The sequence below is a fragment of the Homo sapiens genome, chromosome 2 (genome assembly GCF_000001405.40).
Source record: "Homo sapiens chromosome 2, GRCh38.p14 Primary Assembly".
NCBI classification, from domain to species: Eukaryota; Metazoa; Chordata; class Mammalia; order Primates; family Hominidae; genus Homo; species Homo sapiens.
The window spans coordinates 163,932,122-163,954,842 of record NC_000002.12 but is presented as its reverse complement, the minus strand read 5'-3'; the positions used below and the strand labels follow the sequence as shown (position 1 = coordinate 163,954,842).

The 22,721-nt window shown below is 35.7% G+C and overlaps 1 annotated feature.

The window, feature by feature from the left end:
• Positions 452-1,651: an enhancer, noted in NCBI's record as "MED14-independent group 3 enhancer chr2:164809702-164810901 (GRCh37/hg19 assembly coordinates)". NCBI's record gives its function as "activates an origin of replication core promoter dependent on BRD2, BRD4, P300/CBP and CDK7 cofactors, and independent of MED14, by STARR-seq in HCT116 cells {active_cell/tissue: HCT116}" and the evidence as "EXISTENCE:reporter gene assay evidence [ECO:0000049][PMID:35650434]".

The window sequence follows — 22,721 nt, the reverse complement described above, 5'->3', positions numbered from 1 at the left end:
AAGTTATTTTTTATTATCTCATATGAAAAAAAAAAAGACTGACCAGAGGAATTCCCATTGCTCCTGGCTAAAATTGCTGTGGGCTTCCACCCTAACAGATTTAGTGATGTAGTTTGTGCTAGTGAAAAATTTTCTTTGTCTCTATGTTAAGATAGAGAAAACTAGGTTTATGCATATGTATGTAATCAATTCATGATACTGACTCCATCCACCAAAATCACATAAATGTTGTACCACTACTGGCCAGGTGAGTTTTGGCAGGTTACTTTAAGACTTACAAACTCAGTGGGGTTTTTCATTTTGTTTTGTTTTTGTCTAACCTTGGCCAGCATAATTTGTTCTAATTTTCCTATAGCTAGAAGTAGAAAACACAAAACTGTAATATAAGTATCATTCCCATGAGCATTACCCTATTGATATCCAACCTCTCCCAAGAGTTCCTAGAAAGTGTCTAGGAAAGACACATGGGAACATTGAGGTAGGTGTTTCAAGTAGAAAAAAAAAAAATTCAATGGGTAGAGAAAGACCCTCACTGAATGGGGATAAAAAAATTCCACTCCATGTTTTGGGTTGAAATGTAATGAAAGATGACAATAATAAGCCTTTTTTTCCTTATTAAACCTGAATCTTCTCACATTTCCTTGATGGCTTCTGAGTGGTTACTAAGTGTGCAGCTCAGTGATTGCCAAAAGAAAAAGTTATTTTAAGAATGAAAAGTTGCCAACATTTTCTGAAGGGAAAAACACTGAATAGCAAAGAGCTAATGCCATCATGTTCATCCTGAATATCAAAAGGTTAGTGTGAACATTAATTCCAAAAAATACTATTTTTCCTTTCAGGTAATTTAATACATTAGCCTGCCCTTTGCTATTATCTTTTTCTTTTGAGTTTAAAAATATTTTAGCTGATTTGAATTAAGTATAATGTCAACAAGAGTAGTTGAAGTCAGGTCACTTTGGTTATTTTTAAAAGTTAGAATTATAAAACCTATTTGACTTTATGAATAATAGAGTAGTTACGGATAACCAGAAAAGCTGAAGATAAACATTTATATTAATCTTTATTCTCAGAGAAGTACTGTAAAAGTGAGAGAGGAGAAAGGAAGAAACCAGTCAGGCAGGCAGTTAGGGTGGGTCTTAGATTGAATTCTTTCAAACAAAAGAAGAGCCTACAGGTATAGATAGATAAGGGAACTTGCACAGGGAGGCTTGCCTAAGACATTCCCACAGCCACACAGATAAGAAAGCCTACACAGGTGACTTGCCCAGACATGTCTATGATGGAAAATTCCATTCCCTGCTACATGCGCAGTAAGGGGAACAAAGCAATATGGAGTTACTCAAGCTAAGGGTTTGCAAGCACACTAGGAGGATGGGGTGGAGCTAGCAGAAATTTGTGCCTTACGCAAATGAGATGCCCAGCCCTCGTCGGTTTCTTATAAAAGTTTATGCATTCAACTGTAAAAATGGCAACCCTCTTCTGGGTCCCCTCTCCGCAGCAGAGAGCTTTCTTTTTCTGCCTATTAAACTTTTGCTCCAACCTTACCATTGGTGTCTGCACTCCATAACTTTCTTGATCATGAGACAAGGAACTTTGGGTGATACCTTGGGCCATAAGAGACTGCTACATTGTGGTGCATTGGTGAGACTGTAACAAAAGTAGTGTAATAATTTATAATATTTTAAATACCTCCTATTTGAGGGTTTGTTTTGTTGTAAAACATGATTAAGAATCTGAAAGTTTACAGCCCCCTTCTTGGTGATATGCTTAAGTTTCAAAAATTGTTTTATTTCGCCCAGGCACGGTGGCTCATACTTGTAATCCCAGCACTTTGGGAGGCTGAGGTGGGTGGATCACAAGGTCTGAAGTTCGAGACCAGTCTGGCCAACATAGTGAAACCCCATCTTTACCAAAAATACAAAAAACTAGCCGAGTATGGTGGTGTGCGCCTGTAACCCCAGCTACTCGGTAGGCTGAGGCAGGAGAATCTCATGAACCCAGGAGGTGGAGGTTGCAGTGAGCTGAGATTGCTCCATTGCACTCCAGCCCAGGTGACAGTGCTAGACTTTGTCTCAAAAAAAAAAAAAAAAAATGTTTTATTTCTATCTCACAAATTAGCAGTAGCTTTTCTTTCTATTTTCTTTCTTTCTTTGTTTCCTTTCTTTTCTTTCTTTCTTTCTTTCTTTCTTTTTTTTTTTTCTTGCTCTGTTACCCAGGCTGGAGTATAGTGGATATGATCTCAGCTCACTGCAGTCTCCACCTCCCAGGTTCAAGTGATCCTCCCACCTCAGCTTCCCGAGTAGCTGGGATTATAGGCACCTGCCACCACACCCGGCTAATTTTTGTATTTTTAGTAGAGATAGGGTTTCACCATGTTGGTCAGGCTGGTCTGGAACTCCTGACCTCAAGTGATCCACCCACCTCAGCCTCATAAAGTGCTGGGATTACAGGCATGAGCCACTGCGTCTGGCCAGAATTAACTTTTCTATTAGTAAATCATACATTTTTAAAAAATCCCTTCTCTTCTTAAAGTGTATCATTGTTTAAATTTTCTTTCAACTTTTTGTTTTTTTAAATATCTTAGTTTAAAATTCTTAATATAAATATGTACTTCCTGCAAAACATTAATTTAATTTGGGGTGAGGTTGCTGTAAATCCTGAGCAGAAAGAATTAAGCATTGTTATTGTAATTTTCAATTTGTGATTATAGTATTGAAAGAGATCATGCGAATTTTAGACTTGACAAACTGACAGTATATTAAAAGACAGGGCTTGATAAACCACAACTTTAGCTAAAAAGAACAAAAGTTAGACGAAATAGCATAATAAAAACTGGTAATACCTATAAAAATATAATTAAATGAGGCCTGAGAATATCTGACAAAATATCAGGACAGCCTCTTCAAATCTTGTGCATACTACTTGTATTATAAATCATGTATCTGAAATAAACCCAATTGTTTGCATTTCGGTGTGTTTTCAGAGACATGAATCTAATGAAAACATTTGTAAAATTTAAAATCAAAAGTTAAGGCCAGGCGTGCTGGCTCACGCTGGTAATCCCAGTACTTTAGGAGGCTGAGGTGGGCAGTTCACTAGAGATCAGGAGTTCGAGACTAACCTGTCCAATGCTGTGAAATCCCATCTCTACCAAAATTACAAAAAAAAACTAGCCAGGTGTGGTGGCAGGTGCCTGTAATCCCAGTACTTGGGAGGCTGAAGCAGGAGAATCACTTGAACCCAGGAAGCAGAGCCAAGGTTGCACCACTGCACTCCAACCTGGGCAAGAGTGAGACTCTGTATCAAATAAATAAATAAATAAATAAATAAATAAATAAATAAATAAACTTTAAAAACCTTACCTTTGCAGCTCTCCAAAATTATAAAGAGGCAGGGAATAGGAAGTTTAATTAAAATTATTTATAATAGTTAAAAACTGAATCAGCCCATACCTAACTTTCCATACTCTTGAATCACAGAAATCTCAAAGGTAAAAATTAACAAGAACTAAAAAATCTTATGTGAATTGGAGAATAATAAAAGAAATATAATTGCGATTTAAAACACTAAGTTTTTTAAGGGGACAAGTTCTATTAAATGGAAGATCTTCTGATTCTACAGAGCATACTAATGGATTGGGTTATGACAAATCCAACAGTTTAAATTAGAAACAGCCACTGGAGTTTGTTTAGTTGCTGTGTATAGTGGCATGAATTTGGTCCTCAGAGGGAAGCAGATGAAGAGGAAAGATGAGAGTGAGAATGGAGAGAGACCAACCAGCTAATTCTGATCAGTGCAGGTCAGTGTAAATTAGCATGGGAAAAACTTCAGTCATGGAGTGGCCTGAAGAACATAAAAGTCTAACATTCCAAAGTTAGGGTGGGGTGGCCTGAAGAACCACTCATATATTATAAATGAGAAGTGTTTATATCACAGAAAGCAAGGAAATCCAAGTTAATTTGGATCAAACTCGCCCAAGACATTAGCAAAGTCTAATAGCACATGAATTCCCTGAGAGTTTAATTTTATAGATGTATAATAAAAGGTCTAATTTAACAAAGTGAAGAACAACATTCTGCAAGACAACCTACAAACTAAATGTGGTCATTAGAAAGCCTTGGGCCTCAACCATGGACCTCTCCCCAGGGTTGCATTATGACATTGTAGCTGGCCATGTTCATGAGCTAGGAAGCAGATCCCTCCCGGATCACACCTTCAGGTGAGACCACAGTCCCAGGTGACACACTATAACTTCTTCAGACAACCTGAGCCAGATACACCCATCTAAGCTATGCCCACAGAATTTGCAAGATTTAAAAAAAAAAAAAAGTCTATTGTTTTAAGTCACTGAGTTTTGGAGAAATTTATTTCACAGAGTACACTAATACTTTGATGGATAGCAAAAGAGAGATTTGGAATGTAGGGGTGCTACTCAAAAACCCTCCAATCATACCATAATAGTTTCCTCTACATACTCAAAATGCTAAATCCTACACAAAGCAGTACATCATGTCACTGGTCTTAAATCTACCTCTTTCAAGCTTCCAGGGTGATTCTACTCACATGACTTTTCAAAATTTTAGTTGCCGTGGCCAAAATCATCTGAAGAAATTAGAAGCATGAGACTAGGACAAAGAAGGAAGAGCAGGACTGGGAAGCAAGGTAGGGACTACTATGTGCCACACATTGTTCTAAATGCTAAATTGTTTAATTCCCACAGTAACCAGTAGAGTAGGTGCTATCATAATCCTCATTCTACAGAGGAGAAATTGGAGACACAAGGAAATCCAGTAATTTGCTAAGTTTATGCATTGGTAAGTGATGGAGTTAGGACCAGAGGTCAGACTAGCTAGCTCACTGTGCTTTATTACTATATCCCACAATTTTATTTTTAGCAAGTATTAACATCCTTTCCCAGCATGACAGATGGGTAGGGACTCCTTTCTCAGTGAAGTTAGTTCTTAGAAGGAGAAAGGGTGTGGTATTAACTCCCCTGCATTTCCTGCCTTTTCTGCCTTTATATCTTCTTAGACAAGGAGAAGCCAGGAGATGGAAAGAGACAGCCCTATTCATCTCAGCAACAGAGTGGACACTCACAGGGTTAGATGTCCTACTGAGATGTCAGTGAGGGTCTCTTTATTCAATGCACAAATGAGAGGTTATATTCTCCTTAGGAAGATAAAAGGAAAGAGATACTCCTGTTTTATCTTTTTTCCATGACTGTTAGAGTAGGAATATTTTACAGTTTTTGCTACTACTTACCTACTTACTAAAAATAGATCTTTAATTAAATTCTTTCTTATGGGAGGTGGTATCCTTGGTTTTCATGTGAATGATCACCTATTCCATCTATCTGTTGAATGCATGGAAAATTATTTTCTGCTATTGTTTAAAGGGAGAATCATGCACATTAAGATGGGAGAAATGGAAAGACTCACATATTTTGCTAATTAATAGAGACAAGTATATGGTTACAAAAAAAAGAACCTGAGGTAACAGTATTTCTCACTCTATTGAAATAACACAGTACTTCAGGAGCTCACAGTTAGTAAGAAACCTGACTTGTTGACAGCTGGAAATATTTGTGAATGTCATTCTTATATTCTTTCTACTGCTTAGATAGTGCTTTTTTAACACTTAAATGTCAACAAGTTCGAATCAGTGTAAATAGGTTGCCTCCACATCAGTCAGTGACAGCAAAATCTCAAAATGTTAGAAGAAAGAGACAGAAGTCAGAAAGTTTTTTACGTTTTTGTCAAAAGATCATTAATTCAATATTCATTGCTAATAATTTATAAGCAATATCTCATAAATATTAGAATGATTAGTAAGATGTCTCTTAATTACTTTCACTTTAGTGATAAACGATTTACTAATAACTTTGTTTCTCCTATATAACCATATGTAGCCTTTAGATTCTATGTCAACCTGTCTTATAAATGAAACCAATGTATAATGAGATGCCTCTAATAATGTCAGTAATGAAATCCTACTGGAAAAAAGTAAAGCAGTGGCCATGTCTCCGACTGAACTCGGATGTTTAACAAACCATGTTATAAGGAAATGCCACTAAATATAGTACCATTACCTGAACAGTTATTAGCACTGTCACTGAAAACAGGAATGGCATTGTGGTGTTTGAATTTATATGGAAGGTGGCTGTAAAAACATTATAGCTGCATTGCATCTGTAAGGGAATTCTGAATCAAAATTGGCATAGAATCTCCAGTATGAATAGAGAAGCTAGAAGCAGAATCAAGGTCTACTGTGAACTACACAGTTCTCTGGCTGTCAGATTATATTCCTTTCCATCCCACAAAACTAAAAAATGTAAATAGAATAAACATGGATTGTACATAGATCTCAAAAAGGGACCGGAAAAAAGAGCCATAGTGTTGATCTAGGTCAGGGCTGTTAAGCTTTTACGGAAGTCTTAGAAGGATACTACGTTCATAGAATTATCTATACCAAAGTGTGCTTTCTGTACTCATCTTGTAATAATTCCTTTTCTCCACCTGTTGACTTCTTACATGCTCCAATGGTTTATGAATGGATTCAGCCCATTAATTTGTTGTCTTGAAAGTTTACTAAAGTTTTGCAGCTAATTTTTTATCTTCCAAGTGTGCCTGACAGAAGTATTTTGAACAAATGATATAATTTTTCAATATAAAATATCAATTTATGCATAACTTTTCTTTTGTGGCTAACTGGAAAAATTAATATCCACGAGCAGATACAATGATATAAGTAAATTGACACACCAAAGAGTTGATTATCAGAAACACAAATAAAAACAAACACTTCTATTATGTTATCAATCAGAGAAATAAAACTTGTTGGATATCTACATGTATTGACAGAGCTTGTCTACATTTCTTTACAGAGTTCAGTGGGCAATCTAGGTTTGGCTTACTCTGGAGCATTTAATTATGCCCCATGATCCAGGAAAAAGGGTTGCTCATGTAAGGAGTCCAACATACACTACATGGCACTTTCACTACATTTTTCTAATGAAAATTGCCAAATTCTTATGTGTGCCTGATCTTACTAAGAAACAGAAACCGCAAATCATGACTACATTTTCACTATTTTCTTGGCTTTCTCTTTTTTGTTAGAGTTGACTACAGAGTTATCCTCTCATAAAAGCCTTGACTGGACATATTTTGTAGGGAGAAATGTCAAAGAGTTCCTCTAGTTTTTGGCGCTGCCTCCCACCTTACAATGTATCAACTTCATCAGCACCCCTGCCCCGTCTTAACACAGTAAGAATTGACAGAATTTCTATTTTGCCTCATGGAATCACAAATATATATTAAATCTGATGCTTCCCAGCTTCTATCTCAGAATATTTCCAGATACTGAGAAGCACTTAGCAAAGAAAAAGTAGGAAAGAATTACATCTTGACACACTATTAAAATATGATTTAATTCTATAGCAAGCTATAAAACACATATATGTAACTATATTGTATAACTGATGTTAATATTGAAATTGTTTTGGTGAACAGCATATGTTTTGTAATAACCTATGGCCTATTGTATTGGGAATTAACTAATTTCCATTCTTCCCTTCTGTCCTTGTAAAACAATTCTATATTTTATTTGGGAAAGTCAATGAACTCAGCTAAAATGCTACATCTCCTACCCTTCATTGCAATAAGATAAGTTCATGGGATTAAGTTCTGGTCAAAAATGTTATAAATAGAAATTTTAAGCCTTTTTTTTTTTTTCCATTTCCATCCTCAATCCTATTTCCCGCTGAAAATGCACATAAGATGAGTGTAGTTCTGGCAGCCATTTTGGATCTCATGAGTTATTTCTGAGGGTGGAAGTTGCATGATAAAGATAGTATTTGAGGAAAATTGAAGGAGCCTCTGTTCCTGAAGACGCCCCCGAGTAACTATTCTAGCCCTGGAATGCTTTCTTTTACACTCCTTTTTATTCACTTTTTACACTTCTTTTATGTGGTACAGAAGTAAATTATCTTTTTTAAAGTAACTGTTGCTAGCAGCCAAGTGAAATTCCCAACTTAATTTGTGTCTAACCAGCTTTCCTTCTCTCTTATATTCTGTGAATTTTCCTTGCCATCTCTTGTCACCATCCCCCAGCCAATATCATAAAAATGGATGTGAAACTCTAGCTCCTCTGTTTCCAGCATGGGTCATGATTGGTTGGAGCCAGTAGTGGTGATTTGATTCCCATTATGAAGTGATGGGTTTTGGCGTGGGTATGTGGTGCATTTTTTGCTATGACAACTAAGACAAAATCAGCTGAATAACTTCTCAAAAGTTTTTCCTTACTCTTAAAAAAGTACATGAGATAGTTTCTTGTTTTTTTTTTTTGTTTTTGTTTTTTTTTTTTTTTGGCTTTCGTATATTGTCATCTTCAAGTCATACAAAGAACTGTGGTTGCCATCTTGGAAACGGAGCCTAAAAGGATAAGTCAATATATTGAGGATGGCAGAGTTCGGGGGAACAGTTGCTAGTGTTGAGCTGACCAATGAACTAAACCTGGAGCTGTCCTCCTTTGGACATTTTGCTATGTAAAATAATAAATGTCTTTATGAATTAGCCCACTTTCAGTTGTATTTGTTGGTATTTTAAGCTGAAAACATTCTAGAAACTGCCGAGGTAATATCTTATTCGTGCCTTTATCATAGTGCTTGGGTTGAGTTAACGGGAAAGGCTGGTAGAGGTGAGGAATGGCAATGGGAGACCCTAGGTAAAGACAAGGGGCCTTAAAAAGAGCTAGAGAAGACATTATGAATCTTTGTGAAAAGGATTTCTTAGGGGAATTTGAAGGACTGCTGATTGTAATGATTCCCAGCTTCATAATTTGGCCTAGAATTAGTCCTACTATAAATTTCTGGTTCTGCAGTGAATTAGTAGATGTTAATGGATTATAAACATCTGTTGTTCTAACAAGGTGATATTTTACCCTTTTATAACTGCTAAAAAATAGAATTACTGTCACTGTTTTTAAAGTCATAACATAGAGTTAATAAATAGCTAAATTTTTATCAGTAAAATACTGGAAATTTAAGACCTTAAACTGATTTTCTTCAAGATGTCTCAGGTAATAGGTAAATTTGGAATTAAAATACATTCAATTTTTAAAGACTCTAGATCCTGAACACTTTCTAAGCTAGAAATATGAGTCCACTGGACATATATAATCTTTTTTAAAGGAAAGAAAAAATATTTCTTTTACTCCAAACAAGCTATTGCAGCTTCCTAGAATTGCAATAGTATTAGCAGTTCATAAAATTATAATATGTATATATATGTCCGCCTATTTATATACATGAATGCATTTGTGTAAATATATATGAAAACACATAAGTCTGAAAACATGCATACATCTTAAATTACATTTATTTGAAAATAAACCCATCATTGAAGATTTCCTTTTCATATACCTGAAATTGCACTTCAAAAAAAATAAATATGCATTTATAACTGATCTTATTCTCAGTTAATACAAATTAATGGGCTTCCTTATATGACATGTACAATGTCAGGTTAACAATAGCCACCTCGAAGATGGGAGGGGCTTATTTTGGGATGCAGTGGTCTGATCTATCCATCGGCAGAGTTAATTTTTCCTTTCATTCTTGAGTTTCCCCTTGTATATCATGGGTAGTCACAGCCTTTCATTTCCTATTGGAGTTTTCTCTTGGGCTGTTGTCCTGACTCCTCTTTTTCAACTTCCCTTTCCTTCCTAGAATTGTGTTGCTATCTACTTTTGAATATATAACAATAAAATTGAAGCTAAAATGTTCCTTGGGTACATCAGACTGTCCAAGAGAGTCAATAATATGATTGGCATATCCATCCCTTCACCATTTGTTAATGTGCATTGTGCTCAAATGTTCAAATTCATCAGGTCAGTGTTCCAAATGCTGATTGGAAATATTATCTAATGTGCATTGTATGCAGTAGAGTCACACTTCAATTTCAGCACAGGTTTTACATTTTAGTTCCTGCTCATAATCTAAATAAACATAGCGTTTCTCAGCTTAGATTTATTTCAGGCATGCTCTCTCCAAAGGATTTAAAAATTAAAATGACTCCATAGCAGAATGGGAATGTTTATCCATTTAAGATGCTTAGAAATATAAGGCATAATCATCTTTCTTTTAAGCATAATACAGTTTTTGAATAACAGAGAAAATCATTTTGAACTACATTTAACAAGTAGCTTGTTTCAGCTTCGATATTAGCTTGATTTACCATCTGCAGAATTACCAATAACATGATGCATTTATTACCCGTAAAAGCTATTAGCAGGTCATTTTGTTCAGTTCATCATATGTGTCTTGAGACACAATCTGGCGTCTAACAGATTTTCATACATTGATGTCGCAGAGAATCAGACTGTTCTTTAATTGATTGTTTCTTGCTAGACTCCTTTTGATTAAAACAGGTTATGCTATTTGCTTTTACTTCCACATTTCTCCACTTCAAAGTCTGGCCACAGAAAGCAGAAATTATTCTCATTTCTCTGGGTTCTTTTAATTCAAAGTGAATGTATATATTTAAAAGTCTGCCATAATCAAGGGCTTTAAAAATGACTTCGGTTTTTCCAATATATGACTCCCTCAACAAGAATGCAATCCTTACCATGCGTTTAAAAAATGGATTTATCTTTTCCTGCCAAGTCATCATATATTGAACCTCAGAACCTTAAGTGAGTATACAGATCATAGGGACCAAAGGGAATAGAAAGTCTCCCTCAAAGCACTCTTTTCCTCACAATTTGCACAGACCCCGACAAGCAAAGCTGAATTGTGGTGATAGTGTTGTATCCTTTTCCAGAGGGAAAAGAAAAAAGAGTCTTTTGCTAAACTGATTTCAGAAGGCCTAACTCATATTGTTCATTTAAGCAAAGAGATTGCGAAGCTCCTGAGACAGCCCCCCTCCTGAAACGAAACAAAAAAAGAAAAGAAAAAAAAAGGAAATTCCAAAAGATATGTGAACTCAAGGGAGATGGGGTCGGTGGTCCTGTGTCCGGCCTTCTACACACATTCCCCACACAGTTAACACCATAAAAATGAAAAGGCTGAAATCAGATCAGTACTCATCAATAGGAATGAGTAGCAGCTTGCAGGCTCAAAACAAAAGCCTAATTCAGCCCTCAAAAGGTTTTTGTTTGCCTAATGTCAGAAACAAACATAAAACTTTCTATCATGTGACATCCATGACACCAGGCGAGAGCAGTCACCCTTCCCTTAGGCTTCTGTCTGACATAGACAAAAGCCATCAATAGCTCTTTTGTATCCTACCTCAGCTGTCTGTCTTCATTGATGAGTCAGCCAATCATTCCCAATTGTCATCCGCTCCTTCCAGGTGAAATTCCAAAGTTCCCTGTAACAGTCCTCCAGGTCCCAGGACACACTAATTCACAAAATACTATTCTAGCCAATAGCACTCTTCACAGATCAAACATTTTATCAGGAAACAAAAATCATTTTAGTTCTTATTTGAAATTTTTCTGTTTCTTTACTATTGTTTCCACACATTTTGTGAAATATTGGCTCTTCTAAATTTTTTTGGGTAACCAGAAATATGAAAGTATACTACATGTTATTTTGTCATTTTTGTACCAGTAACTCCTTAAAATTTACAGTAGATCTATACAAAGTATAGCTGCATGGGGATTCTAAAAGATTTTTAATGATTTAAACTTGAAAGCCACTATTCAGAGCCAGTGATGCATTGAGGAAAATTATGTAAGTTGTATTTTAGAAATTACTTTTACTCTAAAATTTATTTAAAATCAAGTTGCGCCAATCACTTAAAATATTGCACCAAATTTCACAGGAAATCTCTGGGTGGATGTTTAGTATAAACTGAAAAGCTTAAATGGCTTAAAAATAGCTTGGAAACATCATATAGACACATGAGGCAGTTATTATGTTTAAGTGATGGGAGTTTAATGGTCTTCTCATACATTAAGCCTACACTCTGATGATGGGGAATGCTTTCATCTCACTCTAGAAATGGATAAAAATAAATATTTAGATTGAGTAAATCTGTTGATTTATTTAGTTTCCTTACCTATTTGTAATATTCTTGAAATTCAATGAGGTGAATTTTTACAGCTCAGAGTTCATTAGCCTTCAAATATATAATAAATAGTATGCACTTGGGACAATTAACTGAAGTATAGTCCTGTCTCCTCTCATGATCATATGTTCCAATTTGCACTACTGTAAAATGAAAAAACAGCAGCAACCACACTATTTTATTTGATGGAATACTTCTTTAAATTGACACTAACAAATACTATTCTTAGTTGTGAAGAAATAAGTATAAGTCCTATTCATAAAAATATACCTGTATCAAAGACAGTAGAAATGGCTAAAAATGTACCATTATTTGATTTTGAATTTAAAGTCACAGTTTTCAATGAATCTGTTATGGGGAGATATATCACAGGACACAGCAAGAACTGCATGAAAATTTGTACTTAATACAAATGTAGGCAGGTAATGGAATGGGTTTAAAGATAAATATGTTTTTAAAATGGTATGCTTCTCTAGATGAAAATATGAACTTTTGCCAGAATCCCTTTGAGAGAAGTGGGACAAAAAGCAAAATTCTTTGAAGTGTTCATCAACGTTATCTGTTCTAATCTGGAACTACAAAGTTATACAATCTGTAGATTTCATTTACCAGCTCTGTACCAGTCACTCATGTTAATAAAAAAAAGGATCAGCTAAATGTATTAAAATAGCAGACGTATCCTGAATTGTTTCCTCTGACAAGTGAAATAATAGTTTATTATTATTATTCATCACACATTGCACAGAATTTCTCTGTAGGTCTGTGAAGATGTGATATAAAAGGTAATGTATTACCCAGTCAGAGTTCTCCAGAGAAATAGATCCAATAGGAGATCTATCTACATAGAGAGAAAGAGACAGAGAGAGGGAGAGATTTGTTGTAATGAATTAGCTTGTGTGGCTGTGGAGGCTGTGGAGTCCCAAGATCTATGGTTGGAAAGAAAGAGACTCAGCCAATCAAATGATGTAGTTCCAGTCTGAGCGTGAAAGTCTGAGACACAGGAGTGCTGATTGTGTAGTTCCAAATGAAGTCTAAAGGCCTGAGAAGCAGGAGAGCTGATGGTAAAACTTTTATCCGAGTCCAAATCTGAAAACAAGAGAAGACCAATGTCTCAGCCCAAAGACAGGCAGAGAAGAAGCACAGTCTCCTTAATCTGTCCTTTTTTTCTATTCAGGGCTTCAGTGGATTGGATGAAGCCCACTCACATTGGGGAGGGCAATGCGCTTTACTCAGTCTACTGGTTCAAATGTTACTTTCACCCAGAAACACTCTCACAGTTACACTCAGAATAATGTTTAACCAAACATCTGGGTACCCCATGGCCCATTCAAGTTGATCCAAAATTAACTATCACAGTAATGCACGGTAATTTTATTTCATTCAATGGCTTTCTTAATAGTGAAAAGTGAGATCAAATAAATTACCTTAAATCCTAACAAAATTTACCTTTTAGGCTTCCATTTCCAAATTTGGTAGAATGTTCTAAGATAAATGAATTCTAGGATTTTAACATTATTTTTAAAAGTATATATTATTGTTCTCATTTAGACATGAAGAAACTGAGACTTCAAGATGCAGTTATTTCTCTTTCTTTTCATTAAAAAGGGGGATATGAATAAAACCTCCTCCCTCTTACATGAGTTTCCTTTATTTTCATAGTGGGAATCAAAGTCAATTCCATTTTATGAACCCAGATGATTGGGTAGTGGATGGATACAAGGCAGCATGATTTCTTACTTCTGTTCTTTGGAAATTATTTTCTTTTATAATAAAACTGATGCAATTATCTATCTTTCTCTTAACCACCTGCTTGCATTTTTCTTCAACTACGTAGTCCATGCTACAAAGGCATATGTTGGGTATATAAGCTTTCCCATGCCAACTATCATGATGGCATCTAGAAGTGAGTCAACCCAACTGGTACCTCCAGGGCCCCAGAATGATGCAACAACAACAACAACAACAAAAACCCGCTAATCAGAGGATAAGGGGACATGCGGACTGGCAAGTTTCTGAGTAAATGTAAGTCTGGTTATCCATTTAATCATAATCAAATTATTTATTTAGTGCTTGAATACATGCTACACACCTCTCTATAATCTTTGATTTATTTTTTTATTTAATTCTCCCTACAGTCTTGTGTGACATATATTTTTTCCCATTTTAGAGATGATGAAATGAGACCCAGGGAAGTTAAGAAGGTGAGAACCATTTGAACTGGGCTCCAGAGCCTTGCTTTGACCATTATGCCAGTTCCCACATCCCTCATCTGCATAACGAAGGAAAGTTAAGCTCTTGAAGTTTCTTCTTAGTCCTTGTCTTCTGTGACCCCTTTTCCACTCTAAATTAACTTCCACTTGCTCTTCGAATCATTTTATTTCTTATTTGATCACTTTAATCTTTCCTCTAGATAAGTGATCCACACTTAATCAAGACATGAGATAACTCTCCCATTTTATCTCTTTTTTCTTTCTGCCTTGCATCACACACACACACACACACACAGACACACACACACCCCACACATTCCATTGTATAAGGTCGTTATGTTCTATAAAGTCCCTGCAAAATGGAATTAGCAAATACTGAATCATTGCTCTTAGGAGACATATAGAGTTAGGTTCCTGTAAGTCTCTGGTTACATTTTCATCACCCTATCAGTGTGTAACCTTGTTCCATGTGTGTTTCTCTTTAAAGCCATGTTATTTAACATATGTTGTCAATTTATTAATGTTTAACTCACAGCCAACATGCCTGAATGAAGCTTAGCTAGCACATATACTTCCTCAGTAAGACACATCACAGCTTTCTTGCACTTAAGAACACAATGCACCACTTCAGCAATATGTTTGGGAGTCATTTTAAACACAGAAATCACCAAGAAAAAGTACAAAAGTGCAAAAACTGAAGCGCTAAATATACAATGAATAGGACACTTGGTGACAGTATGAGAGCTGGAACAAGAAGGCAGGGCATCACTTTGGCCTCAGCTGGGAATGCGTGTGTCAGACAACTTAACTTTTTCATTGTTCTGCACATGTGCATATCTGCAAAGACTTTGAGTGCATCATAAGTATTGATTTGGGGGATATAAATAAATATTAGTGAACAGGCAAATTTTCAAATACAGAATCCATAAATAATGAGGATCCTCTGTGTACATCTCATCTTTGATCTCTGTCTTTCCACCTCTCTCCTTTCTCCCTTCCCCATTTTCTTCTCTTTTATCTTCTCTAGAGGAAATTAAATAAGTAAAAAATATGAATTTTCTTTTCAGCCTTGTTTCTGCTATCCTTATTGTCTTCTGCTTTTCAGAATTGCTAAGATTATTCTACACATACATACACACACAATTTTTGATTCCAAATCAATTCAGCACACATCTATGTTGTCATCAATGTTATGGCTGATTATAATTATTTTATATAACATGATTTCTGCTTGAAAAGTGGTCTTTAAAATGTTCGTAATAACAGAGAATCAAAGGCAAATCCAGGAATTCTTGCTTTCTCCTTTCTTTCGCTGACCTCTATATCACCTCACACTATACAGAGGCAAGAATGTCTATATTTCTGATTTTTTAAGCTTCAAATTACTTGCATTTAATTTAGCAATCTGCTCTTCATTGGAGATAGTTGAATTTACAAAAGCAATTACACCAGTTTCCTGTGACTTTGAAGGATATATATAGTTGCGTTAATTAAGTAGAAGAGGAGAATGTGGATTGCTGGTGATTTTCCAGTGGAAAAAAACAATTGTCGTCGTCTGTGCAGCATTAATTGCTACATAGGGTAGGAGATTAATATTTTTAACATTTTAAGTGGTTTTGCATAAATGTTAGCAATAAGCAAGCCATTTTATGTCTTATTGGTTTGCATTTTTAATAATATTGGAATGCTAGCCTTCTCATAAAGGAAAGATTGCAACAAAACAGAAATAGTGTTTCAACCTTGCTAGTTATGTGCAAACTGACCCCATGTACCCTCTTTGGGGAACACTCAAAGACAGTGGTACTGTTGAAACCATAAAAAGGGGAAGAGGTAATTTATTTTTAATTTTTCTTACATTTGTGAATTTAGTGCCAGGAAAGGCTAACAGCATTGGCTAAGGACTCCAAGGAATAGATGCCATGAACACTTTCTGCATCTTTTCTTTTCTTATATTAGGTTTGGCCTTCTTTTAAAAACAGATCATTAAGTTGATAAAACTGCACCGAAATATAAATTGGCATATTCACTTGTACAAAGATAAAACTCAACCAGATTCTTCATTTATTATTTAACCCGGACAAAGAATCTGAAAATGTAGTGATCATTACTCATTCATTCGACAAGGATTACTGAGCTCCTAGGATGTACCAGTCCCTGTTCTTGAGCTGGCAGTACCGTAGTGAACTGGACAAACAGGGCGCCTTCACTCACCCAGGTGCAATCCATGGACATTCAGGATGGCTGTTCTAACCCAGACCATTAAAGAAGAAGTGCAGTATATTCAGATTGTTACATTAAATTTAGCCTAAAGCTGCCTCCTTACATATTTTAAATTTGGCCTAGTTTCTCTTTACATAGTGAACTGTAACCTTACCAGATGTGTAAACAGACTGTAAACTACCTTGTTTCCATCACTGAGTTTCAGCCAATCACAAGCAGCCAACTATTCAAACCATGATCAAATAAGGCAAAAGTCAAGCTGTAACCAATCTGGCTGTTTCTGTACTTCACTTCTGTACCTCACTTCTGTTTTCTGTACTTCTCTTTCCTTTTTCTGCCCATAAATTTTCAACCACGCAGCAGCGTGGAGTCTGTTTGAATTTATGCTGGTTTGGGGGTTGCCCAATTCATGAATTGTTGTTCCTTGCCCAATTCATCTGTTAAATTTAATGCGTCTAAGGTTTTTCTTTTAACAAGATAATAGTAGAAAACAAAATAAAGAAAATAAAACAGTGTGATATTATAGAGAGTGCTTTAAGTAATGAGGTTCAGGAAGGCCTCTCTGGAAAGGTGATATTTATATTGATAGTTGAATGAAGAAAAAGCATGAGCTATTAAAAGATGGGAGAAAAGGCTTTTTATACATTGGGAACAGTAGATATCAGAGTCTGTGGATTTGGGCTTCAACCTTGAGGAACAAAAAGACCAGTCTGGCTAGAACAGAGTCAGAAGCAAGGGGAGATGAGGATGGTAAGGCCAAAGCCAGATCCTGGAGGGCTTTGCCTGCCACGGAGAAAACACTGGATCTTATTCTAAGTGCAAAGGAAAATCATCAGGGATGTAAGCAGAAAAAGAGCATAATCTGACATTTACTCATAAAATGGAATTTGGCTGCAAAGAGAATGAACAGGGGAAAGCATGGTGGGAGAAGAATGGGCAAAGGATTGGATACAAATCTTATTCATCATTTTAAGCCCAGGTCAAACAGAAGCAGAGATATTTGTCTCTTCTCCTATGCTCCAAAAGCACTTTATTTCAAATAGAACTTGTGTTATGGGGTAAGCATAATTTTCTCTCTCTTGTGCTAAACTGGGGGAAGACTGGCCAGTGGCTCAATGCTCTTGTTCCTAGCATAGATACCAGATCATAGCCCATGGTCAGTTGGCAGGTGCTGAATTGAAGTGAACCAAATTAAGAGGACATATTTAGGCCTGAATTTATTGAAAATAGCAGGCTCTAAATACTAAGACAATATATAACTGATCATTGAAAAAAGGAGAAACCTTCACAAATGTAGATTTAAAATTTTTCAAAACAATTAAAAGCCATTTTATTGTTACTTTAAATGCTGAAAGAAATCTTGGACATTTTGGAGAAAATTCCAGATTCTCCCAAGCTATGTCTCGATCTACATTTAGATAACATGAGTATCTATTTCTTGAACCACATATCAATAAACTTTAGGGGTCATCTATCATTAGAGAAAGTTCTTTTTTTTTTTTTTTTCCTTATAAGAGGAAATTTTGTTTACAAATCTAGAGAAGCCACTTTGTGCAAAGCTTGGTTTGAGCATCGATTGTGGTGTTTTAGGAATCTTCATCAGTGAAAAGATGATAGTCCCTCTTGCATTCTAGACCTGAATGTAAAGACCTCACTTTACAAAAATGTAAAGTGAACAATTCAGAGATGCTAGAAATTATTCAGTAGGCTTTTCAACAAAGACCATTTTATTTTTTTCCCTGAAAATAATATCAAATCAGATATTACTGCTCTGATTTTCTGATGGAGTTTCTTTTGTTTCCAAAGATCAGACAGTTGAAATCCCCCTTCTTGGGAGGAACATACACAATCAAAGGTTCAGCATGGCCAAGTTCCATGGCATGACCTGATGTCTGCTTCCAACAGGCGAGGTGGACCAACCTCCTTTTAAAAAAACTAATTAAATTGATAGTGATGACATCTAATTATAACTTTTTTCCTTACTTGAGGAAATAAGCAGCACACTTATTCCATTCTCTAATAGAAATACTATTAAGTATATTGCATGCACAATTTCTACAGACTGAAAATTTTAAAATAGGAATTTTGTAAAATATTTCTTACATTCCTTCCTTTGGTATTATTTCCAGGGAATCAGTCCTATTCTCAAAGAAGCATGCTCTAGAAAACCCCATAGTCAGTTTATCTACCCTGTCAGTTCATAGTGAAGATAAAATTGTCACATGAAAAATAGTGAAGTGTTCCCTCCTCCACAAACTTCCAAGGTAGGGATTTTCCACCCAAGTGTGTCTAGTATAAAAGACATGACATCTGATCTCATGAAGGGCAGTTGAGTATATGAATATGTCCTTTTTATGTGCTTGCTTATAAGGCTTCTTACAAAACTGTAGCATTATAGTACTATTGAACTATTAATTTGAAATTGTGGATAGTTTATAGAAACTTCAACGTATCTTCCCTTTTGAAATATCTTGGATATCAATGGCGTAATTTTTCTCCTGAAGCTGCTCATTGACTATAGATGACCTATGTTATTTTAATATCTAGTTTTTATTAGGGTTATAAGGAGGGAGGTGGGGCTTTTTCAATGTTAATTAGTGTAACATGTATAAAAATGAACAATAGACTTAACAAATAGGTCACCTTTTTCTGCCTAGGAGGAAAGCTGAGCTGATACAGAGTTTCTGGGGAATTCTAATGCTGATGTTGTGAAGTTCTCCTATTTCTCAGTACAAAATCTAAGAGGAATCAAAAAGAAAAACTTACCCATTTGCATTTAGGGAATACACAGCACTAGAAAGAGAATCAGATTAAGTAGGATTTTTAAAGAATAATTAATTCGGTATTTATGGAATGTAAAGTATTCTCAAGTTCATGATACTGTTATATGCTAATTAACACAGTCACTGTGACCAGTGGCAATTTCAGAATATCTGTGCAAAAGGGCTTTTGAAGCGACATTTAAATAGCAAGCACTGTGTCTTTTAATATGCTAATTTAGAGTTGGTTGATAAGTGGAGGTAGGTGGGTTCTGGCCAAAATAATGCCCCTTTGATGTTCTCATGACTGTGCCAACACAAATCATCTAATCTCTCTGTAGTTTTCTCATCTGTAAAATGGGAGTAAAGCAACAAATGCTGTCATAACTCTGTAAGTGGCATCCAAAAAATCAACCATGGCACCCTGGAGTTTTATTATTATGAAGTTTATGGAACAACTAGTGAGCCAGAACAGCTGACTAGTTGGGAATTCCTGGGGCTGAAAGCCAACTGCCCTTTATTAATATACAAATTAAAATGTCATGAAATTTTATCGTAAAAGTACTTGTTTCATAAGGTTGTTTGGGGTGATGCATATAAAGCACTTTACAGAATTGTCTCGCACAGAAAAAGAAAAAAAACTCAAATTGGAATTTCTCCTTATCTCCTCCCTCTCTTCTTCCTCCTCCTCTTTTCTTTCTCCTTGTCTTTCTTCTTCTGATTTTTTTTTTTTTTTTTAAGGCAGGGTCTCACTGTGTGACCCAGGCTGGAGGGCAGTGGCTCAATCATAACTCTGCATCCTCGAACTCCTGGGCTTAAGTGATCTTCCCACCTCAGCCTCCCAAGTAGTTAGGACTACAGGCACGAGCCACCACACCTAGCAAATGTATTTATTTTGTGTCGAGATGAGGTCTATGTTGCCCAAGCTGTTCTTTTGATTCTTATTCTCCTGCAATACCAAAAATATCTAACACTCGACTATTTGATCATTCTAGAAACACTTATCCCTTTGTTTTTCATAATACCACATCATCATGAAGCTCCTTTTATATCTCTGACATTAATTTCCCTCTCCTTGGAGGACTTCTCTCTTTGATACTGTTCTCTAATTGATGATATTCATCAGGATGCCATTTTTGGCCCACTGCTAATCTTACTCTATATATTCTCCCTAGGTGAGCTCTCTGTGTTTCTGGTTTTGTCTAAACCTGTGTGCTGAGAGTCCCAGCCAGTGTTCCAGCCATGACTCATTCCTTTAACAAATCTACAAGTGAAGTAATTATAGTCTGCCTGAAGCTTAATTCTTTTACATACCCTTGTGCTTCTGTGCCAATTAGCCACCAAGCCCTATTTATTTTATCTCAATCTATGCCTTCCCCTCTACCATTGGTACAGCTGCCCAAACACAGGCCATTATCTTCTCTTTTCTGGGCATGGGAACACTCCAGCTAAAATGAACACTTAAATATGGCACTCTTCTGCTTGACACACTTCAGTGACAAGCATCAAAGCTCCTCCACCTGACCTACAGGTCCCATTTTAATGTGGCTTCTCCCCACTTCTCCAGCTACTTTTCCAAGCTCTCTCTGCCAGGCATTTTATAATTCATCAACTTTGAATATCTAACTCTACTCATAAACCAGGCATTTGCTGCTCTTGTACCCTCTGCCCAAAAGCTCTCCTCCCTTCTCCAACATGACCTCGGCCTGACTAATTCTTACTAAATCTAGGATAACTCAGAAGTCATCTCCTTCAGAAAGATTTTCCTGACATCCGCAGGCTCATTAAGGTGTTCTTCCTTTTTGCTGTTAAGCAATGGCCCTGTTGCTTTTGCATCTGTACCCCTACAACCCTAGGAACAGCTTGACTAGGAGAATAACTAATTCTCATTCTCAGTAAATTCCCAATCCCTGGAACAGTTCATGAGATGTTCAACAAACATTTTTGATTTGGTTGATGAAATTAATGCAAAACAAACACTAAAATGCTCAGTACTCACCTTTGAGTTATAAACCATAACTAGATTAGAGAAAAGACAATTCCAATATTTCAGAAGTTTGTCAGCTATTTTGTTGATCAGTACTATCAAAACTTAAAAGGCAATTTAGCAAAAAGCAAAGAAACAAAGCCGTAATTCAAATCGTGAATGTTTAACAAACATATGTTTGTGGAAATAAATTAGACATTATATACTGCAATGACTTCCAGATAATGTTCTAAAAGTTTTATGTTATTTGTGCATGAAAAAATGTTATAAAACTAATTTCTGCTTAATTTCATAATAACACCTCTCGCAATTCAGTTAGTCACTCAAATGTAAAGCTTAAAAGCTGTAGAATGTGGTGCTCAATTCATTTTGATTTTAATTCAATTCATTTCAATAAATATTTATAAAGTGCCTGCTCTGTATAAGAACTGGGTTAGATCATTTTATGGGCATCATGATGATTAAAATATGGTATTTGCCCTTTTAAGGTTTGCATTATGGTAGGGATGTTTAGACAAGTATATAAATATCTATAGTATAAGCCACAATGAGCCTAAAGCTATAGAAGTGTTTTAAATAACGTGTCATAGAGAATCAGAGGGAAGAGATTGAATTAGTAGGATCAGAAAGGACTTTCTGAAGAAACTAGAATGAGTCCCTACAAGCAAGGCATATCAAAACAGATTCAGTTTTTTATTTTGATTGTGATTTGGGGTTAGTATAGAGTTGCTTTTCAACTTAAGTCTGAGTTACATCCTGATAAATCCATTATAAGTTAATAATGTCAAGTCAGAAATACATTTAATACACCTAACCTACTGAACATTATAGCTTAACCCAGCCTACCTTAAATGTGCTCAGAACACTTACATTAGTCTACAGTTGGCCAAAGTCATCTAACAAAAACTCTATTTTATAATAAAGTGTTGAATACCTCATGTAAGTTATTGAATACTTTAAGTAAAAAACAGAATGGCTGTATGGGTACTCAGAGTATAATTTCAATTGAATGTGTAGCATTTTTGCACCATTATAAAGTCAAAAAATCGTAAGTCAAGCCCTTGTGAGTCAGGGACCATCTATATATGGAAGTGCCATAGATAAAATATATCTTTATTTCATGGGGTAATAACAAATAGACCTAGATTTGAATCCTGTTTTTACAAGGAATAAGTTATGTGATTTGAAAAATTAACTCAGTTTCAGTTTTCTAATTTTTAAAGTGATGCAATTATTATCTCTCTTATAATGTCATTGTGATGACCCCAAATGTGTATGTTTAGCACCTGAGATAAATGAGGATTGGATGTTAGATGTTTCAGTGTTTGGTTGAACAACTATACTTTCGAATTTTTATTAATGGACTGATTTCACTCTAAAAGGAAGTCTCTAATAATGTGCCATATTAGGGTTGATTTTGTTCTTCATCATTTGGGTTGAAGGCATAGAAATCATCCTTAGGATGTTTGCAGACAAC